The sequence below is a fragment of the Homo sapiens genome, chromosome 16 (genome assembly GCF_000001405.40).
Source record: "Homo sapiens chromosome 16, GRCh38.p14 Primary Assembly".
Lineage (NCBI taxonomy): Eukaryota > Metazoa > Chordata > Mammalia > Primates > Hominidae > Homo > Homo sapiens.
The window spans coordinates 80,835,189-80,848,519 of NC_000016.10; the positions used below are offsets into that span (position 1 = coordinate 80,835,189).

The 13,331-nt window shown below is 38.9% G+C and overlaps 1 long non-coding RNA gene across 2 annotated transcripts in view; it reads right to left on the reverse strand.

Annotated features, from left to right (window-relative positions):
* ARLNC1 (androgen receptor regulated long noncoding RNA 1) overlaps nt 1-13,331 on the reverse strand; it is a 63,862-nt gene that overhangs the window by 6,454 nt on the left and 44,077 nt on the right. Inside the window, exons 2-3 of one of the 2 annotated variants that reach the window (NR_131947.1) lie at nt 4,931-5,034; nt 2,744-2,857 (exon numbers count right to left, since the gene is read on the reverse strand). This is a non-coding gene — a long non-coding RNA (androgen receptor regulated long noncoding RNA 1). The remainder of the gene's footprint in view (nt 1-2,743; nt 2,858-4,930; nt 5,035-13,331) is intronic. The other variant, NR_131948.1, reaches the window with a different exon arrangement.

Consider the following 13,331-nt stretch of genomic DNA (forward strand, 5'->3'; position numbering starts at 1 on the left):
TATCCATATTGAGTAGCTTTGCAAGTTACTTTCACAAACTTCCCTACAGAATTGGTTCTAACAGAACTGTTCAAGGCCAAGGATTTGTTTTTTCTGGGTCTGGGGGAGTCATCTTTATAATTTTAATATTCCATTAGAATGCCTTGACGCTAGAAGGAGGGTCCATCTCAATCACATCAATAAATTGATCCCAACCTTTATAAAAATAAGCTTGGATAGAAAGGAAAATCCGAAGACTAAGGTAGTCTGGTAGAATACTAGAAGGAGACATCTTTTAAGAGGAGGACAAGAAAAGGCATGAAAACAGAGAACATGGTCCTACACAAGGCAACTGGCTTCAGTGCTACCCTACAATTCTTATTTCCACTCAACGTCTGTTCTAAGGTGGCCACATTTACAAATGTTTACAACCCCACAGTGAGAAAACAAGGTGTATTAGTCCGTTTCATGCTGCTGATAAAGACATACCTGAGACTGGGAAGAAAACGAGGTTTAACTGGACTTACAGTTCCACATAGCTGGGGAGGCCTCAGAATCATGGCGGGAGGCGAAAATGGCAGCAGCAAGAGAAAATGAGGAAGAAGCAAAAGCGGAAACCCCTGATAAACCCATCAGATCTTGTGAGGCTTATTAATTATAAGGAGAATAGTAGGGGAAAGACCAGCCCCCATGATTCAATTACCTCCCCCTGAGTCCCTCCTACAACACGTGGGAATTCTGGAAGATGCAATTCAAGTTGAGAGTTGGATGGGGACACAGCCAAACCATATCACAAGGGAAAGAAGACAAGAAGCTATCCTGTCTCCAACAACCAATATGTTGTGTTTACATAGCTTTGAGTTTTTCAGATGCCCCAAGATTCTAGAAGGAAGAGAGCTCAGAAAGGAATTACAAGGGGTTTGTAGAGGAAACCTCTGGTTGGTGTTATAAAAATTATTTTGTCTCCACAAATTAGAAAACTGCAAGGTTCTCATGCCCATACCTTCTTGAAATTCAAATGCACTTTTCATTCCTGAGGTGGAGAATTTGGGGTTTCTTGAGGAAAATTATTTTTTAATGAAAGCATGAGAAATTAACAGTTTTCAAACAAATTTATTACATATCTAAAGTTCCTTCCAACTCCCACCCCAGTTTTTTCATATAATTTCTGCTTTTATTTTAGATTCGGGGGTACACGTGCGGGTTTGTTATGTGAGTATGTTGCATGATGCTGACGTTTGGGTTAAGAAACATCCTGTCACCGGGGTAGTGAGCAGAGTACACAACAGTTCATTTTTCAACCCTTGCCCCCTCCTTCTTTCTCCCTCTAGGAGTCCTCAGTGTCTATTGTTATCATTGAAGATGGAGTATTTGTAAAGAATATGGAGTTTAGTTAGGAACTATGAGGTTGGTGCAAAACTAGTTGCAGTTTTTGTCTCTTTTTTTTTTTTCTTTTTTTTGTTTTTTTGAGACAGAGTCTTGCTCTGTCGCCAGGCTGGAATGCAGTGGCATGATCTCAGCTCACTGCAACCTCTGCCTCCCTGGTAAAATCAATTCTCCTGCCCAGCCTCCTGAGAAGCTGGGATTACACGCACGCACCACCACAGCAGCTAATTTTTGTATTATTAGTAGAGACGGGGTTTTACCATGTTGGCCAGGATGGTCTCAGTCTCTTGACCTCATGATCCACCTGCCTCAGCCTCCATAAAGGGCTGGGATTACAGGCGTGAGCCACTGCACCCGGCCTGTCATTATTTTTAATGGCAAAACTGCAATTACTTTTGCACCAACCTAATAAAACTCAGAACACCACATTGACTCAAGACGCATGAGAAATGGCATGCTAGTCACCATTAAGCCTTTCAGAACAAGGGGAAAGGTCAGCAGGAGGATTGCTCAGCTAGTTCCAGGGCACAAATGCTGCCTTGGGAAGAAATATCTTGTTCTTTCAAAAAAAATGTATCAGCTTTGAAGATTTTCCTGTTTTGAAATCCTATCAGTTCTAAAAATCAAGATATTTCCTCTAGCTTATTTATGTTAGAAGAACATTCCCGATTGATATTTCTTTTACAAAGGCATTGAGCATCCTGGGACAGGGAGTTACTCCAAGCCGGCTGTTTGGGCACATGCTTTGCTATTTGCCTTTTTATTTCAGATCCTTGAAAAGAAACTTTGACTCCTTGTTCTGATTGCTGGGCTACACATTTAAGCTACCAATGGCAATGTAAATGACTGCTTATATTTTCAAAGATCCTGATTATTTCTTGTGCAATTATTAGTTATTATTTGAGATTAAATAAAATTAAGGTTTGTTTTTTCCTTTGCAGTGCTCTTTGTGCATCACACTTAAATTAGCATGCTCTAATTCAAATACATCATAAATTTTTATGGAGAGATTGGTTCACAGAGAGGTTTAAGAGTGTGTCTTCATTTTAAAGGGAAATGCTTACTTTAAAGTTTTATAGACATTGAGCTTCCTGCCTCTTTGGTAAGAAAATAACGCATTGTGAAATGAGTTTTTAAAACAAGCAACTGATTCTTCAACTGTTTTTTTTTTTTTTTTCAGCCTTATCTTTCCTGGTTATTTACGAGCCTGCAGTCATTCCAAGACACCATTGTAAATAACTTGTAAAATCTGGTGACATTTTTCAGGGTCAAATGCGTAAATGTAAATGAAACACGTTCTTGCCTCCGGCAGCCAATCTCCCATTCCTTACTGGAATAGAACCCAGGTGGCACATACCTATGATCATCAGGAACTCACCATTTTGTTGATTTAATCTTCCATTCAACTAATATTTATTGATGTCCTGTTACGTACTAGGTACGGAAGATACGGCAGTGAGCAAAACCAATCATGTTCCTTGTCCTCATGGGGCTTACAGTGGGGGGAGAAAATTATAAGCAAAAAGAAAATACAAAGAAATACAACACAGAAAGCACAGGCATGAGGAAGGAGGGCACGGTTCTGGGAAGGCTTCTTGGCCGAAGCAACCAGACAGCAAAACAGGCTTGGCCAGGACAGACATGGGCCTGTTATCCAGCTGGCTAACGGTGGAGCTACAAGTGCCTTCGCCTCCAGAATCATGGAGGTGGGTAATGAGCCATTTACCCTCCAGTGAAGCCCATCCTAAAATTAAGTGCTCTCTAACTAAACAAAGAGTTGTTTACTTTTTTCTATAAAGAAAACAGAGGCTCCACCTGTTACTCACTCTCCTACCCTCTCTCCTGTATTCTTTCAAATCACTAGTTAACCACTTTACTCAGCACACAATGACTTAGAACCGCAGTAGAATCTTATTCTCCAATGAGATTGGGGTAGAGTAACAGCTGATCACTTAAAATATTTTTAAATTAATAATCTTTTTTTTTGAGACGGAGTCTCATTGTCGCCCTGGCTGGAGTGCAGTGGTACAATCTCCCAGATCACTGCGACCTCCACCTCCCAAGTTTGAATGATTCTCCTGCCTCAGTCTCCTGAGTAGCTGGGATTCCAGGCATGCACCACCACGCCCAGCTAATTTTTGTATTTTTAGTAGAGACAGGGTTTCACCACGTTGCCCAGGTTGGTCTTGAACTCCTGACTTCAAGTGATCCTCCTGCCTCAGCCTCCCATAGTGTTGGGAATACAAGCATGAGCCACTGTGCCTGGCCTAAATTCATAATATTTTAAAATGGCAACTCATAATTGTATATATTTATGGGGTACACTATGAAGTTTTGATACATTTATTCAATATGAAGTGATTAGAGCAAGATAATTAATATATCCATCACCTCAATTAATTATCATGTTTGTGGTAAGACATTTAAATTTACTCTCTCGGCAATTTTGAAATATACAAATCATTTTTATTAACTATAGTCATTAGGTCATGCAATAAATCTCAAAAGCATATTGGTCTTGTATGACTGAAACTTTGTACACTTGCACCAATATCTCTTCATTTCTTCTTCTCCTTCCCCCAGCCAGTCTCCAGTACCACCCTTCTACTCTCTACTTCTATGAATTTGATTTTTCAAAATTCTACCTATAAGTGAGATGATGTGATATTTGTGTTTCCGAGCCTGACTTATTTCATTCAGCATGATGTCCACCAGGTTCAGGTGCCACATTAAAACAATACATGTATGAAAAATATCATTTTGGCCAGGCGCAGTTGCTCACGCCTGTAATCCCAGCTCTCTGGGAGGCCGAGGCAGGTGGATCACAAGGTCAGGAGATCGAGACCATCCTGGCTAACACAGTGAAACTCCGTCTCTACGAAAAACATACAAAAAAATTAGCCAGGCGTGGTGGCGGGCACCTGTAGTCCCAGCTACTCGGGAGGCTGAGGCAGGAGAATGACATGAACCCGGGAGGCAGAGCTTGCAGTGAGCCGAGATCACGCCACTGCACTCCAGCCTGGGCGACAGAGCGAGACTCTGTCTCAAAAAAAAAAAAAGAAAGAAAGAAAGAAAAAAGAAAAATATCATTTTACCTCAAGATACAAACATTCAGATTGGTTAGCCAGTGTTTGTAATGGAGAGGCAAGGACCTCTCTGTGAGTATAGACAACTAATTGTAGTACTGTCCAGTAGAACCCTCCAAAATAATGAAATGTTCTATGCCTGTTGTAATACACTCATCCCAAGCCATGTGTGGCTCTAGCTACACAGCATCCTTGTTATCTTCTCTGCATAGATCACATTCATATGCCTCCTTTCTGATTTCAGTTTCGGTTGGTTTAAATGAAGTGAGAACATGAAGACAACTGTGGTATATTCCAAGAGCAGAATCCTCTTACACTTTAATTTTTTTTTCAAATTTTTTTCCAGGTCTTTCACCACACCTAATCTGATTATTGTTTCCTTTAGCAATTTGCATCTTTTGGGTATTTTGATACCTTCAGTGCCCATCTTCCCCTCTGACTCCTGCCTGGTTCCTTTCCTGAGATGGTTGGTTTCTTACCTGGATAGAGTGGAGGGTAGATGGGAACGAGTTCCAGTGGACAAGGTCTATGGAGTTTCCTTATTTTCGGCTCAGGAAGAGCCATGGAACCAGCACCTGAAAACCTGGAAGCAGAGATTGCTAATAACAGATTTGCAAAGACAGTGTGATCTGTGGTAGTACAAGGATTCCTGAGGTGAGAGACAGTATCAATCCTATCTGAGTATGTGTGGGATCCATGGCTCTTAGAGGCCACAAAGACACCGAACAGGTAAACTTAATCTTTTGCATCTGTGAAGCTAGAAGAGCACAAAGACACTTTGGCACAGAGGGGCTCTTCTTAGGCCCTCAGCATGGGACTGCTGTCCACCTTCTACCATATACCCTCCCCCTTCCCGCTATGGGAAAAATTCCTTTATCTTCTACCAGTCAGAGGTCAGCCTCTACTTGGGGTCCCATGACAAGCAGATCTCTGACTGTTTTTAACATAACATAGTAAGGGAAACTCAGCATCCAAACAGAGAAAGACCAACCCAAACAAACAAAACACCTGGCCAGTGAACTGAAGATTTTAAAAACAACAAAGAACCAAGCAAATAAACAAGGACACTTAAGGAAAATCAAATGCATACACAAAAAGAATGTCTGGACCTCAGAGATATGATTTCTCCATTGAATAGGGTTGCCAGAATTAAAGCAACTACATACAAACAACTACAAGACACCCCATTAAATTTTAATTTCACATAAATAGTAAATAATTTTAGTATACTATGTCCCATGCTATAGTCAACATACTTACACTAAAAATTTCAATGTTTGTTTGAGATTCACATTTAATTAGTTGTTCTGCACTTTATCTGGCAGCTGTTCCATTGAACAATTTGGTAGATGAGTTAAAGAGAGAATGGTCATTGGAGAGATATGAACTAGTGACTAGAAATACATTGGAAAAAATTCTCACCATATGGATCAAGCAAAATGGTGGACAAATAAGAGGAAAGATGAGACTTGGGGCTGGATCCAGGAGACCTACCATGAGCAATGATACCAATCTCAGGAAAAAAGGAAACAAAGGAGAGGGAATAATTATAAAGTGTGTAATACAAAAAATTATTCCTAAACTGAAGAGACCCTGGAGTCTAGAGATTGAAATGACTCCCAGAGTTCTAGACTTGATTGATAAAGGAAAACACTCACTTGGGCATGTCCTGGTAAGATTCCTGAAAGTTTAAAACAAAAACAGAACAAAATGCTGACAAGCTAATCAACAGAAAGTACACATTATCTGCAAAGGGGAAAATTGGCATCTGACTTCTTACTGTCAACATTGGAAGCCAGTAGACAATGGAAATGACATTTGCCAATAGCTAAGCTGAAAACAACTTATGATCCTCTACTTATTCAAGATGGTATTCACCCACCAGGGCAAAAGAAGGAAACTGTTAACACAAAAGAATGTGAAGAGTATACCACCAGCAATTCCCATCTGAAGAAAATAATCAAGCAAAGATCTTCAAAAGTGAGAGTTAGATTGAGACTTCAAGATATAGGGAGATGAGAGGAAACACAATACTGATGAAAAACGAACCCAGTATAGACAGGTTAAGTGGATATTCATGGCTACTGGGGGTTATGTAGTGTAAATGCTACATAAGTCCTTTGGAAACAGGAGGGACATACAGCAAGGAAAATTCCAGTAATCATCTGGGACTAAAATCCTAGAGAATTCCAGGAAAACCTAGGAGTTATAGGTGGAGAGGGAGAAGAGACGTAAAAATGTTCCAAGGATCTCACCTTAGAGAGTGGGAAGGGGTGATGAGGAGAAAAGAGGGAAAGGAATCACTTTAGAAGTCTCATCTCCTACAGGGTCAAGGTACACAGGAAAAAGAAGACCATGGTGGAGGAATAATGTGCCTTTCTGGAGGAAACACTGGAATCTCACCTGCAAAAAAAAAAAAAAAAAATAGTACATAGATGTCTAATGAGCATAAGAAAAGAGAATGGAACAAAAATTTCAATAAAACATCTAAATTAACAAGGAGAAAACAGAAGGAAAATAGAATGAATAGTAATCCAATGAAATCAGAAAAAAATGAGGAAAAAACAAATAGAAATTGATAATTAAAATAATTATGAATGTAAATTTTAAAGTAATGTAAAATGTAAGATTGAGCATATCAGTCTTTATGCTAAAGAAAAGTTAAAAATAAAGGGATGGACAAGCAGACACCAGGAAAACACAGTGAAAAACAAAGGAGGAAAGGAAGCAATATTACCAGAAAAGATGGAATTTAAGGCTAAAAGCACTAAGCACTAAAACAGGGACTCTATCACGAACACAATGATCCATATAGATTCTTGTTTTTGTGACGCTAGCTACAGAAGTGAAGGAAAGAGACATGTTCTTGGTACATATGAGAGCTCAGGGAATGAGAATGACAAGCAGAGCCCAGGGACAAAATGTCAGAACGAAGGTGAACAGTTAGAAATTAAAACTGACATCAGCAAAATGGTGGAATCAGAGCTTTCTACCATCATCACGCCTCACTCCACAGAAGCATTAACTTTAATAATTACCAACAGATAGGAGTATCTTTGGGAAGAGTCCAGTGGAAAAGTTTCAGCACACTATTGGCACAACAACTCTGAGGCTAGGTGCACTGAAGAGGGTAACAAGAACAGTTAACACTATCCATGTCATCTGCCCTCCAAGACGGCACAGCCCAGTGACAAAAAGGAGTTGTCCACTTTGATCACAGTTTCTCCCACGGGAGAAAGCGAGAGCATAGTGGTGAATGTCCAGCTTCCCCAGCCATGCAGGACACAGTTCATGAAGACCACTTCTTTCTCATCTCGGCAAGAATACTGAAGTGAACTGTAGAGCTCAGTGGTTGGGAGAGCATGTTCCTATGAAGAGAGGATGCAGATCCACAGACTCCATCAGGAAACCCCTCCACGAGCCACTTGGGATGCCTTGCTCGTGGACCCCTCCCAAATGACCCACAGGCACCCCAAACACTGCTTACCCTCAACCCCATCTTCCCCAGACCAGTCTCCCAAGCATGCCCCTGTGGACAGCACTGCAAGCATCTTACAAAAAGAGCCAGTTCAATTTTGTGGGATTGGAGGAATGCACACAATTTGAGGGTTTCAAGACACCATTCTAGGAAAAACAAACAGGAGACTCTGAGCACCTGGCCTGGCTTTGCAGAGTCAAGAGCAGGTATACAACCTTAAGAAATCCCCTTAGAGGGGCTGGGTGCAGTGGCTCACACCTGTAATCCCAGCACTTTGGGAGGCCATAGCATATGGATCACTTGAGGTTAGGAGTTCAAGACCAGCTTGGCCAAAATGGTGAAACCCCATCTCTACTAAAAATACAAAAGTTAACTGGCTGTGGTGGCACATGCCTGTAGTCCCAGCTATTTGGGAGGCTGAGGTAGAAGAACTGCTTGAACCCAGGAGGAAGAGGTTGCAGTGACCCAAGTTCGTGCAACTGCACTCCAGCCTGGGCAAAGAAGAAGGAGAAGGAGGAGAAGGAGAAGAGAAATCCCCTTAGAGGGAACAAGAGGTGTACAGTGGATGTATCCATAGAAAGCATCCAAGAGAGCCTTGAAATTCCCAGCTGGGCTGTTTGGTGGAGGCATTTCTCTCCCAAGGACAGTCAGTAAAGACTGGAAGAGGTGACTACTCCTTCAAATGTGAAGATAGCAACACAAAATGTAGAGAAGCATGAAAAATCAAGGAAAAGGAGGACAGGGTAGGGAAAAAAAGAAATCAAGAAAACATGACACCACCAAAAGAACAGAATAACCAACTCCAAAGATAAGGAGATCTGTAATTGCCTGAAAAGATTTCAAAATAATTTCTTAAGAAAACTCAAAGAGCTGTAAAAAAAAAAAAAAAAAAAAACAGCAACAAAACAATAAATAAATGAAACAACAAGTTCAATAAAGAAATAGAAATCATTTTAAAAAAACAAAAATTCTGGAATTGAAGAAAACAATGAATAAAATGAAAAAACTGCAATAGAAGGGGACAATGGCAGATATGATTAGGCAAGTAATCTGTAAACTCAAAGACCGGTCTCTAAAAAATATTCAGACAAAGAAGGAAAAAGAAAAAAGAATGAAAAGGAATGAAGAGAGCCTATAAGATTTATATGACACCATCATAAGAGCTACCATTCACATTATAGAAGTCTCAGAAGAAGGAATAAAGAAATGGGCAGAGTGTTTATTGAAAAAAATAATGGCTGAAACCTTCCTATATCTGGTGAGACATATGGACATCCAGATATATGAAGCTCAAAAGTCTCCAATCAGGGTCAATCCAAATAATTCTTTACCAAATCATATTATAATCAAACTGCCAAAAATTAAAGGAAAAAAAAAAAAGATTTTGAAAGCAGGAAGTGGAAAGAGATTCCTCACATACAAGGGAACTCTCATAAGGATATCAGCAAATTTCTCAGCAGAAACTTTGCAGGTCAGGAGACAGTGGGATGACATAGTCACAGTGCTTAAAGGAAAATAACTGTCAATCAAGAATATTATATCTGGCAAAGCTGTCCTTCAGAAATGAAGAAGAGATAAAGACTTTCCAAGATAAACGAAGCTCAGGAAGTACATCACTGCTAGACTTGCCTTACAAAAAATGCTAAATGCAGTTCTTCAAACTGAGACAAAAGAACACTAATTAGTAAGATGAAAACATAGGAAAATATAAAACTCACTGGTAAAAGTGAGTATATAGTCAAATTCAGAATACTCTAATACTGTAATGGTGGTGTGTAAATCACTTATAACCCTAGTACAAAGGTTAAAAGACAGAACTATTAAAATAATAATAGCGGCTGGGCACGGTGGCTCACGCCTGTAATCCCAGCACTTTGGGAGGCGGAGGTGGGCAGATCACGAGGTCAGGAGATCGAGATCATCCTGGCTAACACAGTGAAACCCCGTCTTTACTAAAAATACAAAAAATTAGCCAGGCGTGGTGGCGGACACCTGTAGTCCCAGCTACTCCAGAGGCTGAGGCAGGAGAATGGCGGGAACCCGGGAGGCGGAGCTTGCAGTGAGCCGAGATCGCACCACTGCACTCCAACCTGGGCGACAGAGAGAGACTCCGTCTCAAAGAAACAAAAATTAATAATAATAATAGCTTCAATAATGTGCTAATACATACAAAATATTAAAAGATGTAAATTGTGACAACAAAAACATAAAATGTGAGGGAAAGGGAGTAAAAGTGCTAAGTTTTTATATGCAATCAAAGTTAAGATGACATCAGCTTAAAATTAACTGTTATAACTATGATATGTTTTATATAGGCTTCCTGATAACCACAAAGCAAAAACCTAGAATAGATACACAGCAGATGAAGAGAAAAGAATGAAATCACACCGCTATAGAAAATGATCAAATCACAAAGGAAGACAGCAAGAGAAGGAGAAAGGAACAAAACATCTTTTTTTAAAAAAAAAAAGAGCCAGAAAGCAATTAACAAAATGAGAACAGTAAGTCCTTACCTATCATTAATTGAGTGTAAATGAATTAAATGCTCCAATCAAAAGACATACAGTGGCTGAATGGACTAAAAAAAAAAAAAAAAAAAAAAAAAACAGAGCCAGGTGGCTCATGTCTGTAATCTTAGCACTTTGGGAGGCCAAGGCAGGAGGATGGCTTGAAGCCAGGAGTTTGAGACCAGTCTAGGCAACACAATGAGACCCTTTCTCTAAAAAAAAAAATAATAATAATAATAATAATAAAATAATTAGCTCAGTACGGTGGTGTATGCCTGTACCTCTAGCTACCCGGGAGGCTGAGGCAAGAGAATTGCTTGAGTCCAGGAGTTCAAGGTTACAGTAAGCTGTGATCATACCACTGCACTCCAACCTGGGTGACAGATTAAGACCCTATCAAACAAACAGCAACAACAAAAAAAAGAAGACCCCCCTCCCCTCAACTATATGCTACCTACAAGAGACTCACTTCAGCTTTAAGGACACATGTAAACTGAAAGTGAAAAAGATATTCCATGCAAAAAGAAAACAAAAGAGAGCAAGGTAGCCATATTTATATCACACAAAATAGACTAAGTCAAAAATTGACAAACAGACAAAGTAGATCATTATATAATGATAAAGGAGTTAATTCATCAAGAGGACTAACAATTGTAAATATATATGTGCCCAACACCAGAGAACCAAAATATGTAAGGCAAATATTAACAGACACAAAGAGAGAAATAGGCAGCAATACAATAATAGCACGGGGCTTCAGCACCCCACTTAGAACAAACAGTAGATCATCAAGACAGAAAATCAATAAGCGAACATTAGACTTGAACTATACTTTGGACCAAATGGATCTTGCTGTGTTGCCTAGACGTCTCAAACTCCTGGCCTTATGCGCCACCGTGCCTGATCCTGATTTTGTTTTTTTCCATTCAGAAGCAGAATATACATTCTTCCTGAATGCGAAGAGAGCATTATCTAGGATAGATCATATGTTAGGCGTCTGTCTTAGTCCATTATTCGGGCTGCTAAACAGAATACCTTAGATTGGTTAATTTATAAATAATAGAAATTTATTTCTTATAATTCTGGAGACTGGAAACTCCAAGATTAAGTCCCCAGCAGATTCAGTGTCTGATGAAATCTTGCACTTTGCTTCACAGACGGCTCCTCTTGCCACACCCTCACATGGCAGGAGAAGGCAGCTCCTCAACTTTTTTTTTTTTTTGTAATGGCACTTAACCCCATTCGTGAGGGCAAAGCCCTCATGACTTGATCACCTCATAAAGGCCTTGCCTCCTGATACTATCATATTGGGGATTAAGTTTCAACATATGAATTTTGACGATAGCAGCCACAAAGCAAGCCTCAACAAATTTAAGATTGACCTCTATCATACATCTTTTCCAACCACAATAGTACAAAACTAGAAATCAATAACAGGAGGAAAACTGTGATATTCACAAATAGGTAGAAATTAAACAACCTACTCCTCACATGATGATATCAATAGATGCAGAAAAAGCATTTGACAAAATCCAACACCAATTTGTGATAAAAACTCTCAATAAACTAGGAATAGAGAGCAACTTCCTCAAGTTGATAAAGAATAAACAACATGCTCCTTAACAACCAATGAGTCAAAGAAGAAATCAAAAGAGAAATTTAAAAATATCTTGAGACAAACAAAAATGGAAATACAATATAGCAAACTTTATGAGACGCAGCAAAAGCGTTCTAGGAGGGAAGCTTATAGCAATAAATGCCCACATGGGGGGAAAAATAAGATCTTAAATAATTCACCTAACTTTACACCTCAAGGTAAACAAAGAACAAACTAAGCCCATAGTTATTAAAAAGAAGGAAATAATAAAGATCAGAGCAAAAATAATCAGATAGAGTAGAAAAACAAGAGATCAAGAAAACTAAGTTTCTTTTTTGAAAAGATAAACAAAATTGACAAAGCTTTATCTAGACTAAAAGAAGAGTCAAAATCAAAACTGAAAGAGGAAATATTATAACCAATAACACAGAAATTCAAAGGATCATAATAGGCTACTATAAGCATTTATACACCAACACATCATATAACCTAGAAGAAATGAATAAATTCCTAGAAACATACAACCTATTAAGACTGAAATAGAATTTAGAAAAGAGCAATTAAAATTACATGCCCTGTTCTCATGGATAACTGGGAGCTGAACAGTGAGAACACATGGACACAGGGAGGGGAAAAACACACCCTGAGGCTTGTCAAGAGGTAAGGTCAGGGGAGGGAGAACATTAGGAAAAATAGCTAATGCGTGCTGGGCTTAATACCTTGGTGATGGGTTGACAGGTACAGCAAACCACCATGGCACACATTTACCTATGTAACAAACCTGCACATCCTGCATATGTACTCTGGAACTTAAAGTTTAAAAATTACATGCTCTGATTAATGAAATAACAAAAAATTATAGAAAATATATAAATAACCAAAAGTAGGATAAGTAAAAATTCCAAAAACTGGAAAACCTTTTACAAGTTTGATTAAACAAAAAAAGAACAGGGAAATTATATATGCAAGATTCAGAATGCTTAAAAATATTATAAGAAAATACTACCATAAATATTTTTTAAACTTTTAGTAAATGAATGATTTTCTAGAAATGTGTTTATTACCAAAACCACCCCCCAAAATGGAAAACTTGAATAAACCATTATGATGGAAAAATAAGATGATTAAATGTCTACTCTTGTACAAGGCTTTAGGACAACATAGGTTCATGTTTTCAAAATATATAAAACCAATATAATTTTAACTATTTCAGCCAGTAGAAAAAGATAGAAAACTCTTTGATTCATTTTAGGAGTCCAACGTCACATTTAACACCAAAACCCAACAAAGATTTTAAA